The sequence below is a fragment of the Homo sapiens genome, chromosome 3 (assembly GCF_000001405.40).
Source record: "Homo sapiens chromosome 3, GRCh38.p14 Primary Assembly".
Taxonomy (NCBI): Eukaryota; Metazoa; Chordata; class Mammalia; order Primates; family Hominidae; genus Homo; species Homo sapiens.
The window spans coordinates 167,560,812-167,585,200 of NC_000003.12; the positions used below are offsets into that span (position 1 = coordinate 167,560,812).

Here is a 24,389-nt window from a genome sequence, read left to right on the forward strand (position 1 = left end):
AATATAAATCTACATGCACACTTTGAAAGGAAGGCAACAAGACAAATGCTAGAAGGGAAAGGATTATACACAGCAGTTCAAAAATGAGAAATTTTATAGTGGCAAGTGGACTGCTAATTTCAGCTCAAGATATTTAAGAGATTCATAGGTTAAAACCACCTAGCTAATATGACTTTGGAAACCAAAATAATGAAAGAAAAATAATTACATAAATGCATAGCTAGGAAGTTCTCTAAAGCAATATGTAGATTTTAAGGAAGCTTAAAGCATTTCTTTTTCTGTTTAGGTATTGATTACCATTGTATAAATGTAAATGTATTAACAATATGTTAAATTTAAATGCTGCTTTTCATAATCAAATGGGTTGAAGTTTATCAAATGTATATTCAATACTGGCCATCATGCATACATTCATTCATTCATTCTACAGCCACTTGCATAACATCCAGGCTCCATAACGGCAATGGAACTTCACTGGCAAAATCCTGCTCTCAAGGAGTCTATTGTCTATGGTCTACACCTGTACATTAAAACCACCTGGGGAACTTTAAAAAGCATCACTGCATACCAGATCAGAAACTCTGATTCAATTGGCCAAGGAAATGGATCTTTAAAGAGCATCACAGGTGATTTAAATTTACAGCCTGACCTATGACCTGCTGGTCTAGATGAAGAAACAGACAAGAAACAGATAAATGCTAAAAAATGTTTCAAGTTTAGAGGAATCACCTTTGGGTACTGTGGAAGTACAGAGTGGAAAACCTGAAATCCACTTGCTGGAGTGGGGGATTGGGTTAGGGAGTGGAGGAGCAAGGGGCAAGTCAGGATTCACAAAGGAGGTGATAACTGGTCTGGAATTGAAGATGGAGACATGTATTTATTATGAGGTGTACCCCAAGCCCTTTCACTTGTTATCTCATTTGATCTTTATGAAAACTCTGTGAAATAATGTTACCAACATTATTTTACCAACGACAAAATTGAGTTTGTAATCAGCTAATAATGTCCCCAAACTTACAGGTTTGAATCCTTGACATAGACAGCCACATCATAAGGTCTTCCTCTATTCCTGCACAGCATTCCAGACAACTAACAGTTCACTTAGAAAAGTACTTGGAGAATATTCCAAGAATGAGAAACAATACAAAGTTTAATGAGCCTGAGCGCAGAGTATTTGAAGGGACAAATATGGTGGGATATCAAATGAGTAGGCAAGCTGAAGATGGAATTTTAGAAATCTCTGGTAAGCAGCTCCAAAGAATATTGAGTAATTATAAAGTCAGTTTTACTGGGAGAGGGCCCACAGCTTTCATCAATTATCATTGGGGGCCAATGATTAATCCAAAAGGCTAAAAACATTATTATTGTTCTTAATAAGGAAAAGAGTAATACAGTGTTTTTTGTCAGTTGGCTTGTAAAGATACTTCTTGCAGCAATGTGGAGAACAAACTGGGGTTTTGGGAGGACCATTTGGAGGCTTCAGACTAGTCCAGGTAAGAGATTCTCAACTAACAAAATAGTTCTGGGGGTACAAAGGAGGGGAGCAACTGAAAGACAGGGCCATGATTTAGCAACATGTGTATCTCAACAAAGAACTGATAATGAGCATGTGATCCTTTTAGCCCTTTTTTTCCTGAAATTACAACTTCAATGAGACAATTTCTTAAATGAAGTAAACCTGTATTTATGCTACACATTTTCTCTCAGTGAAATCAAAATTACCTTAAATATTGAATTACCATTGTGAAACTACTGTGTAATTTCTAAGACCAAATGATCTGGATCTTTGAAATAATGTAACAACACATTAATTAGCATTCCATGTCATTAACTGTGTTTCTATTTGATTGTGTTTGTGCACTATACATGGTTGTTAGGAGCACTGGATCTGGAGTCAGGATGCCTAAGTTTGAATGTCAGCTGCCTCACTAACTATTGTTCTACCTCGGACATTAAGGGCAAGCACATTACTTACTTTTATGCTTCAACTTCCTCATCTGTAAACCAGAAATATTCATAGTAACTACTTCAAACCATTGTTACGATGTTTAAACAAACTAATATTTTTAAAGCATTTATCACAGTGCATGGCATAGCCATAAATCATAAAAGTTAGGTAGTGTTACTATTCCATCTAAGCTTCATTTGCCTGACCTCTTACTTAGGCTTGTATCACTGTGCATATCCAAATCAATTTAAGAAAAATAGTATCTTGCTTTCCTCCAACTATGACAGTGAATGTAGACAATTAAATTTTAGAAACCTGATTTTAGGGCCGGGCGCGGTGGCTCACGCCTGTAATTGCAGCACTTTGGAAGGCCGAGGCGGGCAGATCACGAAGTCAGGAGATAGCGACCACGGTGAAACCCCGTCTCTACTAAAAATACAAAAAATTAGCCAGGCGTGGTGGCGGGTGCCTGTAGTCCCAGCTACTCAGGAGGCTGAGGCAGGAGAAGGGCGTGAACCCGGGAGGCGGAGCTTGCAGTGAGCCAAGATAGCGCCACCGCACTCCAGCCTGGGCTACAGAGCGAGATTCTGAATCAAAAAAAAAAAAAAAAAAAAAAAAGAAAGAAACCTGATTTTAGATGCACATTGAAATTTTGAATTATACTTGTGAATTTCTCACAGAAGTGCTTAGGAAGTTGGATTACATTCATTACAGATAAAATCATGAAAGTGTAATTTTCCAAGCTTGTGTGAAAATTTTGATAGTAGTCTTTTAAGAAAAGGTTAAAGATTGTGCAGGATTTTATTATTTCTATTAAAAAACATTTTTGGATTGATTGATTTGTTTGTTTTTATTATTTTAAATTGACGCATAATAACTACATAATTATGGGGTACCGTGTGATATTTCAATACACATACACGATGTATAATGATCAAACAGGGTAATTAGCATATCCATCACCTTAAACATGTATTATTTCTTTATGTTGAAACATTCAAAATCCACTCTTCTAGCTATCTGAAAATACACAAGAAGTTGTTGTTAACTGTAGTCACCATATAGTGCTATAGAACACTAGAACTTATTCTTCTGATCTAGCTGTACTAAAAAGCATTTTCTGAGCAGCTATTATATGTTAGCCATTTCAGTACCAAAAGATGATACTTTTTATTTCCCTAACAGAAATAAAAGAGCCATGTTCAAAGAAAAGACTTGATTACCTGTTCAGGGTGGGCATCACCCACATTACAAAGCATCTAATCATTCACCACTGTTATCTAACGTAGATACTCAATGAGGAATTAGTAATGTTCACTTTTTGCCATTTTGTACTCTTTCCCCTGCCCACCTGACTGAGCCCCAACATACTATTCATCAGTTTTTGTCACCTTTCTCTGCTTATTTAACAATTTCTCGTGAAATCTAAGTCAGTCATGACAACAGCATATAGCTAGTCTGATTTCATTTTATGGCAGTCGGCCTCACGGTGCAGTTTGCAGGAAAACAATGTGTTGAAACTGACTATGTCTCAAACATCCAACCAGTATTAGCCAGAATCTACTCTCACTATGACAATATTGGAATACAAGAATAACAATATAGGGGAAAGGGCGTTCAAAGTTTAGTGAAAGAGGAGTGCATTTAACATTACTTGGCAGATGAAGAAAATGGATTCACTACACGACAATGGAACTATTTTTGGCAAGTTGTTTTCATCAGCAATAAAGCCCAGGAATAAGTCTTGGCGTCACATGTCTATGCCACCTTTTAATGATACCAAATCTCTTTAAGTTTGCAGTTTATTTCTGATTATCTCTTATCAGGCTAGACTTCAGCTGATGAGGACGGGGCCCTGACAGTCTGCAGAGTGAAAATGGTGCTAACAACCACACTCCAGGACACATGGGCCTCCTCAGTAGATCGTTGTTCTGATGAGAACAGTCTCTCTCTCATGTGCTTCAGTTAATAACTGTTTAGGAATATGTGTCTCCTTTTTGTTTCTCTCATCTGAAGCTGTCAGAGCTAATCAGACAATTCTAAGACATGTGAGGCTGTATTCATGTCACCTAATTGTCTTATTGCTATTCCAATAACAGTAGGCACTTTAGTTGTCTTTTATGTGCATTTCAAGTCCTGGGTCTAAGAAAAAAAAAACAGGAATCAAAAATTACAGCAGCAAATGCCACGAGCTAACAGAGGGTTGAGATACTTGATTCCATTGCTGTTTATAATTTTTTTTTGTTAGTGTTGTTTATGGTCCTATAATATAAAATAGGTTACTTCCTTTATTTCCATTTTGTAGAAAATCTCTAGAAGTTACATTTCAGTGAATAGGGAGGTGAAGAGAATGATGATATCTCAGAGTACAAGTACAAATTATTCAAATATTTTAGGGCAGCCATTCTTTAGTTATAAACCTTGCTTAGTGGATTTTTTCTCTTCTTCAATTAATTGGTAATTTGCTCTTTCAAATTCATTATTTGAATGTACTGAATACCTGTAATATGCAAGGCCCTAGATCTAGACACTGGTGATCCAGCAGTGAATAAGTTCTGCTCTTGCATTTTGTCCAGGGAGAGAGGCAACAAGATCAGAAAAAAAAAAAAGCATATCTATCTACACACACACACACACACACACACACACACACTTATATGTAAAATGCATGTGTATATATGTAATATAGTGTGTGTGTGTATATATATATATGATGTTTGGTGGTAACAAAGGTTATGGAGGAAAATATAGCTAAGAAGGAAGCAGAGGGCTTTTGTCATAGGTGCAAAATTGGGGAATCTGGGAAGGTCTCCCTGAGGAATCATTTGTAGAGACATAACTGAGATGAAGAAGTAAGCCAACCAGATACTTGGGTGAAAAGAGCTGCAAACAAAGGAAACAGCAGTGCAAAGGCCCTGAGGCACAGTGTCCTTGGCACATTCAAGGAATAGCAAGGAAGCCAGCAAGGCTTAAGCAGTGTGAGGGAAGGGAGGAGCCATTGCCTGCGGTCAGTGCACAGAGATTCAAAACAATCCAAAACTACCAAACTCCCATAAGAACTAGGGAACAAATTTCAAAAGTAGAAAAAAAAAACTTTCCTCTTTTTCACTAATATTAATTAGCATTTACCCTTGCTTTATTTCATGTATCTTTATATATAAGATCATTTGTTCTTAACAAAAATTCTACAAGGGATGTATTATAATTAGTATTTTATAGATAAGAAAGCTGAAACTTAGAGGAATTGAATCACCCACTCTGTGTAAAGTACTGAGAACTCTGCCTGACTCTGAAACTCTACCAATTCTCTTATTCTAAAAATCTACTTCTAAAAACAGTTGAGACTGTGATGATGAAAGAGGCTGAGGAAATGGTCCTCTCCTACGCTGGTTTAGTGTAGCTTTATGGAGAGCATTTGGCAATATTCGTCAAGATTACAGATGTAAATATTCTCTGCCCCAATAATTCTAACTATAGGAATTTATCCTATAGATATTTTCTCATCAGTGCAGAGTTCTAAGGACAAGGTGAAAAACTGCTACATTATTTGTAACAAAAACTGCTGGAACCAACCTAAATGCTCAAAGTTTGGAATATGCATGCAATGAAATACTATGCATCTGTGAAAATGGACAAGGTTACTCTTTAGGTAATGAGATAAAACTATCTTTAGGATGTATTGTTACGTATAAAAGCAATGTACAAAGCAGTTCGTACATATAAAATGCTCTCATTTTTGTAAAAAAAGCCTATAAAATAATATATATTCTTAAATATTGAGTTATTAAATATTACATATCTATTTCAAAGAATAAGTTTACGCTGCAACAACATGGGGGTTAGAGATGCCTACCTGCCACACAGTTAAAAATTCATGTATAATGTCGATCCCAAAAAAACTTAAGTACTCATATTCTACCGTTGACCAGAAGCCTTACTGATAACATAAACAGTTGATTAACACACATTTTGTATGTAAGAGTTACTACATACTGTATTCTTACAACAAAGTAAGCTAGAGAAAAGAAAATGTTATTAAGAAAATTATAAGAAAGAGAAAATATACTTACTATTTATTGAGTGGAAGTCAATTATCATAAGGGTCTTCATTCGTGTCGTCTTCACATTGAGAAGGCTGAGGAGGAGGAAAAGAAAGGGTTGGACTTACTGTCTCGGGGTGACAGAGACCAAAGAGGTGGAGGAGGTGGAAAGGGAGGCAGGAGGTCAGGAGAGGTGGGCACACTTGGTGTAACTTCACAGAAATATATTGTAATTTCTGTCGGACTTTTTGCTCTTTCTTTTCTCTAAAAATGTTTCCAAACAGTACCAATCCCTCTTCCAATATTTGCTTTAGTTTCAGTGCCCATAGTGTAGAAAGGTCTATGCCATAAAATAAGTCAAAAGCAGTCTTGAATAATCAGAACGCTTCTGCCAGATTGTCTAATGTCCATTATTGTCTAACGTCCCTTTGTTTTCTGGCACTGCTTCTTCTATGTCTTCTTTCTCAGTCACCTGTTTGAAAGCACTCATCTTCATCAAGTCATCTTCTGTTCATTCCTCTGATTTAGTGTTTATCACATCTTGAATTTCCCCAAAATTCATATCTTGAAACCCTTCACCTCTTCCCCATTCCCACCTTTTTTGCCATGTTCACAGTCTCTTTCATGATTTCCTTGATTGGCTCTGTTGTAGATCCTGTGAAGTCATGTGCAACACGTGGACACAGTTTTCTTCAGCAGGAATTTATTGTTTCAGGTTTGAGGGCTCTCATGACTTTTTCTATAACAATGATGGCATCTTCAATGGTGTGAGCCTTCCAGGCTTTCATGACGTTCTCTCTACTCTGATTCTTTTCCATAGCATTGACGGTCCTTTTCATAAAGTACCAGTACCATGTGTAATGAGCCTTAAAGGCCCTCATGACCCCCCTTGTCTAGAGGCTAATTTAAAGATGTCGTGTTTGGGGGCAAGTAGATCACTTTGATGCCTTTAGTCTTGAAATCATAAGATTCTGTGGGGCCAGGGGCATTGTCTAATATCAAAAGAACTTTAAAAAGCAGTCTCTTACTGGTAAGGTGCTTCCTGACTTCAAGGACAAAGTATTGAAGGAACCAGTTCAGAAAAAAACATTCTCATTGTCCAGGCCTTCATGTTGTACAGCCAAAAGAATAGCAGCTGATGTTTGTCTTTTCCATTTCAGGCTCAGAGGTTAGCAGCTTTATAGACAAGTGCTGTCCTGATCATAAACCTGGCTGCATTTGCACAAAATAACAGAGTTGGTCTATCCCTTCCTGCCTTAAATCCTGATGCTTGCTTCTCTTCTTTATTAATAAACATCCTTTGTGGCGTTTTTCTTTTCAGAACAAAGGCATTTTCATCTGCTTAAAAAATTTGTTCAGGCAGCAATCCTTTCTTCTCAATTATTTCCTTAATTGTGTCTGGGAACTCATTTGCAGCTTCTTGATTGGCAGAATCTGCTCCTCCTGTTATTTTGGTATTTTTTGTACCAAATTATTTTCTAAAGTTATCAAACTATCCTTTGCTGGCATTAAATTCCCCAGCTTTAGATATTTCACCTTTCTTTTGCTTTAAATTATTGTATAATAACTGCTCATTCTCTAATCATATTAGTCTATAGGTATGCCTTTCTTATAGCAACCTGCACCCACATAAGACCTGTATTTTCAATACGAGGTAAAAAGGTATTTCACAAAAAAAGTATATGGTTTTTTCACCTGCTGGTGTAACTACGGCAGTGGTTTCATTAATTTCTTTTTCTTTTTTTATGGTGGTCCTAATGCTGGATTCATTTATATTGAAATGGCAAGCAACCACAGCTGCAGACCTCAACCTATGGTACATATCAAGCAAATCAACTTTTTCTTGCAATGCCATGAGTTTTCTCTGCTTCTTGGTAGTACTCACAGCATCCCTAGTGGCACTTCTTATGAGTTCCATGATATTATTCAAAGTTTATGGTACTGCAATAAACAAGATAAGAAATATGCAAGCAGCTCAAGAGATCACATTTTACTGAGATGGGTAATTTAATGTAGAGAGCAACTGCTCATTTGGAGATAAGTATCACATGGCATTTTAAACAAATGCAACACTTGAGCTCACCACAACAGCAACAGGGGGTGGCTATGAAATCATTGCAGCAGTGCAGTATGTACTACAGTTAATTTTTTTTTTTTTTTGAGACAAGAGTCTTGCTCTGTCGCCCAGGTTGGAGTGCGGTGGTGCTATCTTAGCTCACTGTAACCTCTGGCTCCCAGGTTCAAGCAATTCTCTGCCTCCGCCTCCTGAGTAGCTGGGATTACAGGCACCCACCACCACACCTGGCTAATTTTTTCGTATTTTTAGTAGAGATGGGGTTTTACCATGTTGGCCAGGCTGGTCTTGAACTCCTGACCTCGTGATCCGCCCTCCTTGGCCTCCCAAAGTGCTGGGATTACAGGCATGAGCCACTGCACCCAGCCTGTATTACAGTTAATTTTACACAGTTATGATTTAATACTGTATCTTTTTGTTTACATTTCTCTTGACTGCAAGTCTGTGTTTGAATACGTAAGTTTTGATACATTTTAACTTTTTGTAATAGATTTGTGTATATTTTATTGTACTAACTAATAAAATAGGCTAGTACATACGTATCTTTTATGCATTCATTCTATGTATAATATTTTCTTGATTTTTTTATATTTCTGGGCAATGTATCTGTATTTTTTTAAATTGTTGCAAATATCCAAAAAAAGTTCCAATATATTCATTTTTAAAAATCCATGTGGAGCTGGGCACAGTGCCTATGCCTGTAATCCCAGCTACTCAGGAAGCTGAGGCAGGACAGTCACCTGAGGCCAGGAGTTCAAGGCTGCAGCGAGCCATGATCATGCCACTACACTCCAGCCTGGACACAGCAAAAAAAAAAAAAAAAATCAGATACAGTGCCCCCTCGCAGTTCAAACCAGTGATGTTGAAGGATCAACTGTCTATATAAAGAAAAATATATATTCACTTGTTTAAGAGTAGAATAGCCCTTAAACATTGTGGAAGTCGTAAAACTCGTTGTCTACAGGACAGGAAACTGAGTAGGCAGTGGCATGAAGATAAGAGAAAATATATGCCACCTATCTTTTTGTTGTTTTGAATTTTTCAACATGTAAACACGTTATTTCTTCCAAACTAATCACATTAAATAAATGTGTATCTGTTCGTACATGTATGTGTGCATGTACATGTATGTTTTAGTATAACCTCTAAAACTAGTAACTTCTTATGTTTCCATCAAGTGACTACAGCACACAGCCTCAGAACTGACATATAACCAATTACAGCTTTAAGCTAGCCAAAAAAAAAAAAATCACAACTGTATTAACAGAATGGATGTCACTTGGTGCCCAGCAAAGAGGCAGGAAAGGAGAAAATTTTCATTGTGTAAATCTGGTTCTGTTCAAAAAAGAAACTCATGGATTTTGCACTAAATGTAAGCCCTGAAAAGGTAGACTGTCTTGTACGATGGAGATAAATTTCCCTCAAGCCTGTCCTCTTTTCTCCAATTTTACAATTACCAAGGGAACCACCAATTGAATTGTTTGGATTCCCAAATACCCTCAATTTCCAAAAAATTATGTGCAGAAAAGAGGACAAAAGATATGCTATCAAGAGAAAATTATACCTCATCCCTCATTTTTTAAATAATGGAAGGCCACATGTTTATTATAAATTTTGGATATGCATATGTATACATAGAGCTGTTTGGACTGCAATAATCTAAATTAAGATAAGGTAACTATAAATTGTAAATAAGGTTAAGGGTGGAAAAGTTTACTATAAAATTTTGAATATGATGGCATAGATAATAACTTTGTACAGATGCTATACATGTATACATAATGGAATTTTTTAACAGGAAAGTTTTTTAGTGTTTACCTTTGGTATATTTTTATATTGTGTCACAGCAAAGAAACAAAAAGCTGCAATTAAATGATGATAAGGCCGGATGCAGTGGCTCACGCCTGCAATCCCAGCACTTTGGGAAGCCAAGGCAGGTGGATCACGAGGTCAGGAGTTCGAGACCAGCCTGACCAACATGGTGAAACCATGTCTCTACTAAAAACGTGAAAAGTAGCCGGGCATGGTGGCGCACACCTGTAATCCCAGCTACTCAGGAGGTTGAGGTAGGAACCCAGGAGGCGGAGGTTGCGGTGAGCCGAGATAGCACCACTTCACTCTAGCTTGGGCGACAGAGAGAGACTCCATCTCAAAAAAAAAAAAAAAAAGATGGTAAATATTTGCTTGTCAGTGAATGTTGAAGCAACCAAAGGTAAGGGCACCACTCTATGGCTGTGACCTGGACCAGCCCCCATTTTTAATAAATAATTTGGCAGTTTGTAGATAGTATAATAATCAAGCCTCAAGAAACAGCATCACTCCAGATAAAGTGAAGAGGGTCTAGTATTCAAATTTGCAAAGCCAGCATGCTTCTGGATTATGAAAAACCCCACAGAGAATCTCAGGAGATCTCTTGGAATAAGCCAGGTGAGCACTGTCTGACCTATCTCTTCATGTAACCAAGTATGTGATTAATATATTAGAGGTTAGAAGCAGGATAAAAAAGTAAGATTCTAGGGGGCAATTTATTTATCAAATTATCTGATATTGCATATCCTTTAGCCTAGAAACTTACTCCTAAGAATTTACCTTGAAGAGATATAGTCATAAATATAAATGTATTTATCTACAAAAAAGTCATAATAGTGAAGTCTACATCAAGGGAAATGGATCAGTAAATTACGATACATATATAGAATGGGCTACTATGCTGCCTTTTAAAAATGATAAAGTAGTTCTACATTTAGCCTCAAGGAAATATATTCTAACATATTATTGAATAGAAAAGTATGTTACAGAGCCTTGTTTACGTAAAATAGTCTATGCAGAGAAAGATGTTTAGAATATGTTGATATCAGCAATAGTTTTGTATTTGAGCTTTACTGCATTGCTTTAATTTCTTACAATAATCATGTAACATTTTGCATGCAATTACCAAAAAAAGTTATTTTGATAAGAAAAATTGTAAATACCATTTACTCTATTAAAATTTGATGACACCTAAATGTCTACCTTGATTATAAATGTGTCCAAGGTTCCCAACAAACTGAAACATTATCTATTTTACAAAAATACATCAACCTACATCATTAGGATGAGAATCATAGTGATAACACAAGTATATTATCTATTCTAGTTTCTATGTCTAGAAATACATGTTTTAAAGTTTCCTAAATTCATGAGTGTTCTTTTGTTTTCTTGTAAAAAGCTTCATTTAAGAACTAAGTGCAAAGATGGTTCATTAGATCTGCCTCCAGGATATTGGATTGCTTTAATTCTTTCAAAATTGTACATTCCAGGGGACTCCTTCATCCAGTCCCAACTTGCTCTGCTGCTGGCTGTGAGGGCAAACTTTGCCAGGTGAAATAAAGTATATGATTTCCTTTAAAAGGCTTTGCATGGCTTAACATCACTTTCCCAGACTAGGATTCAAGGGTATCAAAAGACAGGAAGATAAATAAAAGTCACGGAAATGTTCCAAGCTGCTTTTATATAGGAATTATATTGGGTCCCCACTGAAGTCCAAATACAAGGAAATAATAAAGTGTAGGCAACATGTTGAAATAACAACACAAGGGAAGGTTTTCATTAAATTCAAGCAAAGGGAAAATGTTCAAGAAAGACACCAAGCCAAATAACCAAAGATCAAGAGACCATGGGCTGAAAAAGCATTGCTTTCTGTTACACTTGGGATGAAAAATGGCAATAATTTATTATGTCTAGTAGTCGAGCATTCATTTTGTGCTCAGAACAGTGTTAGGAGCTGTGGGAAAATACAAAAATGGAACAAAAGGATCTTCCCCTCACACCAAAAACATAGGAAGAGAGAGAAATAAGTTTAGTTAAGTGTTTTACTGGGAAAACAACTAAAAAATGCGACCAATGCTCAGGAAGAGGAGAAGTAAGTGTGGGTTGAGATGGCTCTGGAGACTTCAGGGAGCTGAGGACCAAAGCTGAGTCTTGCCACTAAATGTTTACAAGACGAAACTGCAATGGCGAAGAAGAGAAGGAGGAGGATAAACAACTTTCCCACCTCAAGGGACATTCCTGAGGAGAAGCAGAGGTAGGGAAAAACTGCAGTTCAGGGTACCCTCCCCTTTCTAATTCTTCCTAACATTTGTCATCACATGCCACATTGTTAAAATAAAGATTAAGGAATCTTAAGAAGTTAATAAGAAAAGGAGATGTCATAAAGCAGCAACATTCGCCCTCTTTGGTATGGGGGACTTTAAAGACCCTTACAGGGCTGGCAGCATGGGAGACAAGAGGACACTTCCAAGATTTCAGTCCTAACAAGGCAATGCCAGGGAGGCACGTGCTATTCCCATTACTATTCCTACACCCCCACAGACACACACATTTTAAGAAGCTGGCAAACTAAAGCTCAGACAGGCTAAGCAGTCTGTCCAGTATTTGAATTCACATGTTTCCAACCCAGCAGTTCTGAAAACTTTTGGTCTTGGGATTCCTTTGCATTCTTAAAAAGTATTGAAGAATCCAAATAGCTTTATGTGGAATACACACACACACACACACACACACACACACACACACACAACACAAATAGATAGATCTGTATTTTTATACTTATTTACCATATTAGATATTTATAGGGAGACATTAAAACACAAGAATATAAGAGCACACATTCCCTTAGCCATAAGAACAATGCTGTTATCACACAACACACATCATGCAGCCTCTAGAAAACTCCACTGTACACTTTTGAGAGAGTGAAAGTTTAGAAAGCAAACAATAAATTAATATTATGATGAAAATAATTTTGACCTCCCAGATTCCCTGAGAGAATCTGAGTCTCCCAGAGGTCCAAGATCACACTGTGAAAAACATTGTTTTAATCTCAATTCTATGCTTTATGTTTCCAAGACCAGACAGTGATACATTCAACAAATGGCCGTCAATATGCTCCTAAGATCCCTTTACTGCTTTAACTCCCACGATGTCTGCAAAGTATTCCCAAACTTGCCACACCAAAATAAACCCTCTCTCCAAAAATGCACCGTGAGTGCTCAAGCTTCTTTGCAGGTGCTCACGTTGTATCTTCTGTCTGGAACTACTTCCTCCTCCTTTTAGAGATGTTAGCTTTCAGGGCTCTGCTGAAATGTGACCAACACTGGCCTCAGGCAGAATTGATCACTCTCCATAAAAAGCACTTCGGTTTTTACCTCTACTTCATTTTACTATGTTCTACTGTTTCTTGTTAGTAATATGTCTCCCTTCCCTTCTTTCATTCCACAATCCTGTGATGAGCACCTGTCCAACAATCATCAGCACTATGGTTAGGACCCAGATTTTCCCTTAAAGAGTTGAATCTTCCTGAGCTACTGGGGGCAAGAAACTATAGTTTATTATCTCTAATTCTTCATTCTTGGTACGACACTTGTTCAAAACTGTGTTATTTGCTTTGTCTAATTACTCTAAAATGATAAGTTATCACTGACTGATGGGAATGTGAGTGATATTTTCTTTGTACTTTTCTGCAATACATTTTTATAATTATAAATGTAACACATACAATGTTCATGTTTCTGTAACTCAGCAGCTAATAGGAAATGCTGATGTATGTGATACACAGCTCTATGTGCTTTACATACATATCAATGCTTATCATTATTTATGTTATTCACAGCAAGTAGAGGTGTAAATACTCAACTCAATTGTATAATGATACATCCTACATCATATACCATATGTACATTGTCCTTTGGTTGCCTATAAGTGGCATGCATGTGAGTTACCTTGGCTTTGTCTTTATGCCCCAAATAAATCCAGATCTTCTTTGTGTCTAATTTCCTGAATTTCTCAGGGAATATTGCTCATCTTATGGCCAGGCAACATAGGATTTTAACATCTACACACAAATTTAGCATTTTAACTTTGCAGATCTCAATTAGGAGAATGTTCTCTTGGAAGCAAATACATCTCTCAGTGGCCACCAGGGAGTCAAATTAACTGGTTGCCTTCATAAAGATCAGTAAAACATTTAGCAGGAAATGTTTTCCCGCAGATGGAATTCAAAATGAGTTGTTTTCTAAATGATTTTATCTCCTAGAATAACCAGAAAACAGTGTTTTAAATAGTGACACGACACACTACCCATTACTAACAAAGGGCTTTCCACCCCTTGCGCAAAATCTCCACTAGTCATTTCTATGTGAATGCAGAAGCTTCTGCAGAAGGGAAAAGAAAGAATGGATTGAGTTACTGTTTAATTGGCTGTAAGCTGGAGACTTGCTTCTGCTTGGCTCCTGCTGTGCTGTTACCATCAGGCCTGACGGGATCACTGCAGCAGGCTAACCTCTGATGTTGCTTGCTCCCTTCATGATACCCACAGGCTGCCCCACACTGAGCTCACTGGCTTCACTGCCTGGGCCGCCCTGTCCTCCAAGAAGGGCTGTGGTCTGCGCAGTAACTCTGCTCCAGGGGAGCCCTGCTTCTTCATTGAGATGCAGGTAGTGGTCCCCTAAGCCAAGGCTGCGGAGCGTCATTAAACTGGTGGGGAGACAAACAACACTTGTGCTGCATACCAAGTGGCATCATGTTTAACTGAATCATTTTATTATGAATACATTCTGGGCTGCCACTGTGAACCACTGGTGTAAAATATGCTGGCAAAATGGATCTCTGCTAATTATGTTTCATGCATATTTCAGAACTTTCCACAGGGATACCGGAAGATGGTGTTCATAGAATTTTACAAGCAGGTTCACTTGCATTTGGCTCAAGACTAGCAGATAACAAAGATAAGTTCAATTATATTACAGGTTGTTTTGTTTTAGCTGGAATGCTGTAATTCCTTATAACTCTATCACTGCTCCTGTGGTCACTGGCTGAAAATGAAATCATTCTCCAAGTCCACCTGAATGTATATTATTGCAGAAAAGCACATGGCTATTAAATCATTTCTTCCCATATTTGCCTTTACTATATTTGTCTTTCATTTTACCTTAAACTGAATTAAGTAAATGAGCCTCTGGACTTGGAGATATGTTAGGAGAGTGAAAGAAAAGAAAGCATCATTACCTGCTTCAAGATAGAATTGTAAAGAACACAAGTGACTGCTTTCTCATGGCTTTTCACCCTCTTGCTGGCTTCACTTTTCATTGCCAACAATGCTAGCTGGTTATTAAACGAGATGAAAAGTCGTCCATGGGCTTCATCAAAGTGGAAGAGACATCTGAAGTCCTGACTTTTGGGGAAAGAACAAGCTATCCTCTGGATGGACAGCTGGTGTTGAATATCCCAGAGTCTCAAAACCTGGATGAAAAGTGATAAAATCATTTCAATATGTCAAAGATAATTGTAATCTTTTAGCCAATTTTTTTTCTAGCTCACCCTCAATACCAGGCAGACAGTTGTTTCCTCCACAGTGCTATAATTGGTTCTCAATTCTGCCATAGCACCTATTATTTTGTATTTCAGTCACCTGTTTAAATATCTCCTAAATTGTAAGCTCCTCTAGGAAAGGGGTTGGGTTCTATTTCAGTCCCTGGTATAAGGCTTGGCATTTAGTAAGTGTTTGTTGTAGGCAGAATAGTAGTCCCCCAAAGATGTCCATGTCCTAATTCCCAGAACCTGTGAATATGTTATCTTAGGTGGCAAAAGAGATTCTGCAGATATGACTAAATTAGGGACTTTGAGATGGTGAGATTGTCCTGGATTATTTGGGTGAGTCCAATCATAAGGGTCTTTAAATGTGAAAGAGGGAGGCAGAAAAATGATCAGAGTGGTGCAATATGAGGACTCTTCCTAGTCTTGCTGGCTTTGAAGAGGGCCATGATCCAAGGAAGCTTGAAAAGACAAAGGAATGGTTTCTCCCCCAGAGCCACCAGAAAGGATGAGACTCATGTCAAATTCCAACCTACAGAACACAAAATAAATTTGTGCTGTTTCAAGCTACTAAGTTTGTGCTCATGTATTACACTAGCAATAGAAAACTAATACAGTTCTCTCTCCGTCTGTCTATATATACATGTGTGTATACATATATATGTATATATGTGTGTGTAGATACATGTATCTATATATGTGTGGATAGATATATATGTATACATATGTATGTATGTGTATATATGTATATATGTATTTTTGGTAAAATAAAAGAAGTGGCATTAAATGAGGTCAAGTTCATATAACCACAGATATTAAATTCTTATTCAAACACCTTCAAGACACATAAATGACATGCATTTACCAATGGATAGTAGAGGGCAAACACTAAATCCTTGCTCAAGAAATAGGTTGCTTTAGATTCAATAGACATTAAAAAATTGTTTTTCCTTTTCTTCTATTTTCTCATGGCTCCCTTCATTTCAAAGAGGGTGAGTCACACTAAGTGTCCCAGGAAGAAAACAGAAAGATGAGCTTCACAGGTGTGAGTGTTGGTGCTATCAGTAGTGGTACAGAATTAACAGGCTACTGAGGGAGTGAAAAACCTCTCCAAAAGGGGGTATCAGGCAAGTCATCAAGACCTTGTTTACTTTTAAAAAACATGTAGAATGTATCTGTTGTACAAAATCAAAAATCACCACAGGGCTTTTATCTTAACCCTATCTCTGTAACCTAGGGTCAGATTTCCTGGGTTCTAATCTCAGTTCTGTTCCTTACTAACAGGGGGACCTCCAATAAGTTTTTTTTTTAATCTGAGTTTTTAATGTAGTGTCTACCTCACCTAATGCTATGAGAATTAAATGAGAGTCTATGTCAAGCACTTAACATGATGACCAGCCTGTAATGCGTTCAATGAATGTTCCTTATTATTATGTCTATTTTATTTTTTCATTGTGTAAATATTAGAACCTAAAAGCAGAAAACAATATTTCAAATAAACTAGTCTATCCAACATGAAAATTATTTCTAAATTATCTATAAAAGATAGTTTCTGTTTAGATGAGTCCTTATTGCCCCATAAGGCAGGCAACCTTATAGTTTTTAACCTATTTTAAATCATACACTGCTTTGGGAAAAAAATCTATTGAAAATGATGGTTCTATCCCAACTCATCAAATGCCCACAGCCATATATATGTACAATTTTACATATAATTTATTTGGGTACATAGACACACCTCACAAACATACTAACAGGTCCTAGGAATCTACAAGATAGGAATCCCTACAGTAATTATTAAATATATTCAGCCAAAGAAATCTTCTTCTACCTTTTCATTCTATCCTACCTTCTTCTCACACCTGCATAAGCTTCCTCTTACCCCTTTTCTCCAGGTTAAATGATCCCAATTCTTTCAACCATTTCAATATCAGTTTTCAGATCTCACTACCACCTACCATGGTGGCCTCTTGATTCTCTCAATGTCTTTGTTTCCACTTTCTCTCTAGGGGAGGGTAGTCATCCAGCCCTTGTTTACTTTTAAAAACCATGGTAAGATGCGTCCATTGTATAAAGTCAAATAGCACCAGAGGGCTTTTATCTCAAGCCATATATTCTACCCCTAGTCCCAATCCTTAGAGATGGCCTTCTTTTACTCTTTTACTCTTTCTTGTTTATGATTTTTTTCCACAACACTAAATAATATAATTGTGCACACATGTGTGTGTATATATGTGTGTGGTGTATATATTTTTATACAACTATATCTAGTGACTCAGAAAGAAGAAGAAAAATTACTAATACTCCTTTTCTCCCTTTCTCCTCCCATTTCTCCCAAGTTAGCATGTTAATTTTTTTAGTCCTATTGTTATTATTTTAAATATGTTTATACATTAATTATTGACCCACTAATTTAACACTATCTGTAAGCACCTAAAAATCTTTAAAGATCTGCTTTAAGCAAGTCATCCAGAATGGAGCCAATATTTCCAGTGTGTTCTAATCATTACAGGTGCTATGATTTCTTTAAAGCAGCCTATTTTTGCATTAGCTGATTAAGCCTCTCCATCATGCTTTTCACTTGCCTTGATGTCTTAATTGAGCAAAATTCTATATATTATTCCCAGGAACAAATAACCAAGCCAGATGTCTACTATCCTGTTTCCAAAAATATATTTTTTAATTAAGACTAAAATTTTCCCTATTTTTGATCTAGAGTTTCAAGTGACAATATCATTTTGAATCCTAATTTCCCATGCTGTTCTTGTGATAGTATGTGAGTTTTTACAAGATCTGATGGTTTTGTAAGCATCTGGCTTTTCCCCTACTCGCACTTCTCTCTCCTACCGTCATGTGAAGAAGGCCCTTGATTCCCCTTCACCTTCTGCCATAATTGTATATTCCTGAGGCCTCCTTAGCTGTGTGGAACTGTGAGTCAGTTCCTCACCATGCCTTTATAAATTACCCAGTCTCAGGTAATTCTTTATAGCAGTGTGAAAATGGGCTAATACAGACATAGGTAGTGTTCAATAAATATTTTTTGAATTAAAGATTGTGGCTCACTCTGTCTATACCCAGATCATTGATGAAAAGATCAAACAGGATATGCCCAAGAATACAACACTCCCACAAAAAAGTCTGCCTCACTTCCACATATTTATTTACCCAATTGCAGTTCTCACATAATCCTCAATGAAATTTTATGGGACTTTTTAAAATATCTTACAGAAATAATTATGCTTCTAGCATAGGGTAATGTCTCCATTTACTCTAACTACCAGCCCTTATAACAAGCTTGAACTAACCTAGTCAGTCTCTACTTGGTAAACCACATCACCAAACCCTCTGACCCTAAGAATGTATATTCATAGAGAAAATTGGGTTTTCTTGCCAAAGATTTTTATTAAAGAACTCATTCTGGTTTTTAATCATCACTAAAAAAATTTTAAAAAAATTGTTTAAAACATTCTGGCAGCTCTCCAGGAAATGTTTATCTTAAAAAACATGAATTCTGTTATAAATATAAATAGAATTGATAAGCTTTTATTTTGAATGTTACAGTTATAAAATTAGACACATCTAGATCATTCTCAAATACTCATATTACTAATGATAATCACGTCTTCATCATTCAAAATCCTGTCTTGTTTAGTATGGACCCCTTCTAAGAAATAGAAACTAACTTCATGTCATAATAATAATATAGGGTATAGTTGAATACACATTGACAATAACTCCACAGTACTGATGAACTATAATTTCTCCAGAATCATTTTTCATTGTGTTAAGTAATTTATATTGGATTTGATATTTCACTGACATTTAGTCACATAAATTATATGATAAATTAAAAACAGGTGAGCCATAACCTGTCTAGTCTACAACAGGTTACTTCTTGTTGTTAGCAATTAAAACTAGAAATTTTTTTCAGAATGTGCACATTTGTTAATTTTTTAAATTAATGTTTACTGTTCTTCTTCTTCTAGGCAACCCTAAACTCTCTCAACTAACGATCCCACTAAGTCCACCTTCCATCTTTAATTCTCTAATTTTGCTTTCTGCTGAGAATTAAGCAACAGCATTGAAGTACAGCCATAAAAGCATAAAATGGGTGACGGTATATGACCTCCCTTATGTTCTTAATTTTCCCTGCCAGTGGTTCTTAAACTTGACTTTAGAAACACCTATGATGCTCGAGAAATCTCCTATGCTTTGGCCCTTTCCCAGACCGATTAAATCAGAATCTCTGAGGATGGGGCTCAGACATTAGTTTTTTATTCCCAGGCATTTCCTTTGCATTATACCTAACTTCTCTGTTTTGTTTTAAGGTCAATGATAATCTCCTTGAAAAAGAAATCTTTCCCTCAGCTTAATTAGTAATATCGCATAGCTTAGCTTTAAACCAGGTAATTGTATTCCCCTTCTTTTTTATTCAGTCTATATCCTTCTAATCATAAAAGCCCTCACATTAATTCAGTTTTATTAATCAAGTCCTTTGACAAAAATGTCACTTAAATATCTAGTTATTATCTGAGAATCCTGCGTTCTCACCTTCTTTTATATTCAAGTTGACTTCTGGAATAGAATTAAACCACAGTTCAGAAAGGAATATGTTTAATTTCAATTTTCATTTCAGATATCCTAGAAGGGTTTTCTTTATTTTTAGTAGAGAAAACAGATTCACAAACTTTTAAGCTTAAAAATTACAATGGAATAATTTTTTTAATTTGTATTATCCACAAAGTTTTATTTAAATTGATCTGTATCTATTTGCATCATTATATCTGAGAACTTGTGATATCTGTCTAAACTCAGGCTTACTAAGTCAAGTCCATGAACGGGCATGTTTGGGAGCTCTGTATTTCATCTTCACTTGTAGATTAACAAGAATAAGCACCTAAGTTTATGATTTTATATTAAGGCAAATAAATTTTGCCATAATTAGTAATATCATATAGCTTTTCAAATAATGATAATGACATTTTCTTGCATAATCTTTATCTTCTTTTAACCGTTAACCTTATAGGAATGCAATATTACAAGTGAATACTGTATTACTTATACACAATAGACCTAGAAATCAATGGATTGAGACTCCAGACACCCAATCCTAGTTTTCATCCTAGGCAGTTCAGGTATGTGATTTTTATCTTTCCATTTTCTCATCTTTCTGCTGAAGGGGCCCCTACCAACTCTGGAATTCTGTCAAATTTGTCTACAATGTAGTCAAATTACTCAATCCATTATCTAAATATTCTAAAATAACAATATTTCAAACGAATTAAAAAGGTACATTGTGAGGATTGAATCAAAGAAATGTAGGACATCACCATGTTTTCAGCCTAGCTTTGCTGAAGAATCCCCTACTCCCAGCCAGAGGTGGACAGAATCACTATTATTCACACAGGCATCATAGAACTATAATAAATCAACAAGTAAATAATGAAATAAAGCTTTTCTTCTGTGCTACAAATGTTACATTTATAAGTAGATAACTTCACAGATATAGGTAGGGGTATAAATAGATGTGTGAATGGATAGAAAATCTATTTTCAGTGCACTTTTAAATCCAAATCAGTATTATTTACATACTAGCAACATGTTTAATTCAAAGTAGTCAGAAAATAAAACAATTTGTAATTTCCTCATAAAGGCATAAAAGTGAAGGAGAAGTAGAAAACAGACTCACATGACTCCATTTAAAGGAGACCTGCTTGGCTTTATCAAACATTTACTAACTCCTGTTATCCTGTTAGAGATAGATATAAAATAACAATAAGAAAAAAGGGAGAGTGTGGGCATGCTTCCGTGTGTGTGTGTGTGTGTGTGTGTGTGTGTGTGTGTGTATTGCTAGGGGATTTTTGAGTACAGTAGTGCAGCAGCCCAGCTCACCGGGAGCAATCCACACAAATGGATAGCATACTTGCAGATAATAGGATAACAGGAATGGAGGGCATTGCTTTTCCTGAACACACTTTTATGTACTAACAATCTATTTATTTAGAAGTTAAGCCTCTCAGTAATCCACAAAAGCATAATCAGTAAATGCTTAAAGACAATTTTGTTTGACATGATGTATGCTAGCAGAACTATTCTACTGAATACCTTGGCTAACATTTTTATCTTAAAGTCATATAACATTTCTTCCTTCAGAAAAGATTTTTGCTATTTTTTTCCCCAGGACTAAAATCAAACTTAAAATACTAGTTTGAAATTAAAATCTTCTCTTCTGCCGTTTATCTTTAAATTGCTACTATAACTATTATAATAGTTATACTATTTTTTTTTAGTTCTCTTCAACAGAAATGAGAGAAGACACACAGCTCTAAGACTCGAATTTCCACTATGTGTCTGTTTATTCTTTCATTGACCTTAAAAGAGGCAAAACATTGTCTAACAACTCTGAATTGTTGGGCAGAAATCTCATTGATTTCCCAGTTCTAATTTGCAATAGGCTGGGCACAGTAGCTCACACCAGCACTTTGGGAGGCCGAGGCAGGCAGACCACTTGGGGTCAGGAGTTGACCTGCCTGGCCAACATGGTGAAATCACATCTCTACTAAAACTACAAAAAAGTAGTTGGACATTATAGTGCAGGCCTGTAATTCCAGCTACATGGGAGGCTGAGGCAGGAGAATTGCTTGAGCCTGAGAAGCAGAGGTTGAAGTGAGTCAAGATCACTGCACTCCAGCCTGGGCAATAGAGCAAGACTTTGTCTCAAAACAAACACACACACACACACACATACACACACACACACACACACAGATAGAGAGAGAAAGAGAGAGAGAGAGAAAAACAAATTTGCAATAAATTTAACTAATGCCAACATTTCATTTAAGGTGCTTTCTTTTTTCAGGACAGAAGTTCATTTGGAGAATTTTTAAATCTCAGCTTGATTCTTGCAATTATCATTATTCACATAACATTAAAACCTTAACAGAATTTTTGCCTTTAAAAATGTCGTTTAACTTTCAAAGATCACAGCTCCTCTTTTAATTTACAATGTAAATTAAAACTCTTTAAATTTTAAAATTCTTTTTTTACTCAATATTTATACTAACAACTTTAAAAAAAATCAAAAGCAGCTACAGCATGAGAATTCCGATTAAATTATCATTAAAAACTAGGTTTTTGTAAGGGGTCTTCCTGCTTCAAAGAAATACAGTTCTGAATAAAACATAATTTTTGGCTAGCTGTGGTGGCCACATCTGTAATCTCAGCACTTTGGGAGGCCGAGGTGGGAAAATCATTTGATGCCAGGAGCTTGAGACCAGCCTGGACAACATACAAAGACCCTGTCTCTATAAAAAAAATCCAGAAAAATAAAGCATAATTTCTGTTGCCTTGCTGGGCCTTCAGGGAGTAAGAAGTATTTCCATGGGTCCAAAAAAACAAGGGAAAAAGAAACAAACTTAAAATGGGGACACTGAACAGTAGACATAAAGGAAAGAACAACAACCAGAAGCCTAAGCCTTGGCCCAATAGCAAGGTACAGCCATTGAGGTGAGACTGTTAAACTGGACAACTGAGATGCAGAATGCAGTAGCCTCAAGACAGTAGTTTTGCACATTTCATTATACCCTACAGAAACAAACACAAATCTTCTCTGGAAGAAAGCATCTTCAATTTAGTTCCTCAGAATAACTATATATTAGTAACAGTAAAAAATGAGGGAGTGAGAAAGATAATCAAGCATAAAAGGAAACAAGTCACTATGAGGAAGAATCACCAGAATAGCAAATATCAAGTTTAGAACACAATGAACTCCAGATATTCTCATTACAAGCAAGAATGTAAAATAATTAGGTATAACATTAAAGAGCTACAAGTCAGAATCCCCTAAATGAACAAGCAACAAGAGACTATCCAAAATTACAAGAGAGTTCAAGAAAACCTTTTAGAAAAAAAGTTAGTTGAAATTAAAACCCAGTGTATGAGTAATAGAGAAAGTGGCCTCCTCTCCATTAGAAACAACCTCAAGAAAGTCAAGAATATGATAAGAATGCCTCCTAAAATATGGAGAAAAAAAATCTGAACTTAGAATGGGATGTAAATTAAAGCATGCAATTTTTATGGAAGATAGTGAAGAGTGAATAAACAGAGAAATACTGAGAGCTCTTTCTCAATATCTTAAAGATGTCAAACATTACCAAACTTAATGAAATTTCAATCCAAATACTGATAGGGCTTTTCATGGGAATGGGACATTTGTACTGATCCTAAAATTTACTTGGAAGGATAATATGTTGGAGGATAGTTCAAATGGAAAAAGAAAAACAATAAGTAGGAATTACCCTACCTGGCATCAAAGTACACAAAAAAGAGAATGGTTAAACCATCGTATATTAGCATAGGAAAAGACAAGTAAATTAATGGAAAGAATAAAGCATATACAAACAAATTCATGTATATTTAGTAATTCAGATGATGATAACAATGGCATTTCAAATCAGTAGTAGAGACAGATTATCCAAAAAATAACCTTAGGCAACCATTTGTAGAAAAAATCTACACAAAAATGAACCATAAAGTTAAATGCAAAAATAATCAACAATAGAAAAAGTATTAGCAGAAAATAAAGAATATTTTTATAATAACTTACAAATAGGAGATGTGGAAAATATTTTGTGTCTAAATTTGTGTCTAGGTTAGAGCCATAAAGAAAATCATTCCTTAGACTCATTTTTTTAAGTCTTGACTATCTTTTTCTTGATCGTAATAGCTTAACATTTTTTATTATCTTTTCTTTGTTATATGCATTGCAAATATTTTGCCTCTTTAGAGCACACATTTTTAAATTTTGTTTTTTTCATTCAAAAGTTTTAAATATTTATAATATTGAGTCTAAGAAATGCTTTCCTTAGATAAATGGCATGATCAGATATTGCACAAAAATCAAGAACTATAAATGGCCAATAAATATTTGCAAAAGAAATTCACCCTAGTTTTTGTTCATCAGGTTCACACACAAAAA

General features: G+C 36.0%; 1 protein-coding gene across 4 annotated transcripts in view; it reads right to left on the reverse strand.

The window, feature by feature from the left end:
- Positions 1–24,389, reverse strand: part of WDR49 (WD repeat domain 49) — a 179,240-nt gene that overhangs the window by 82,128 nt on the left and 72,723 nt on the right. For all 4 annotated transcript variants that reach the window (NM_001348951.2, NM_001366158.1, NM_001348952.2 and 1 more), the window contains one exon: positions 15,107–15,340. In NM_001348951.2, coding sequence (NP_001335880.1) covers positions 15,107–15,340 — 234 coding nt within the window. The remainder of the gene's footprint in view (positions 1–15,106; positions 15,341–24,389) is intronic.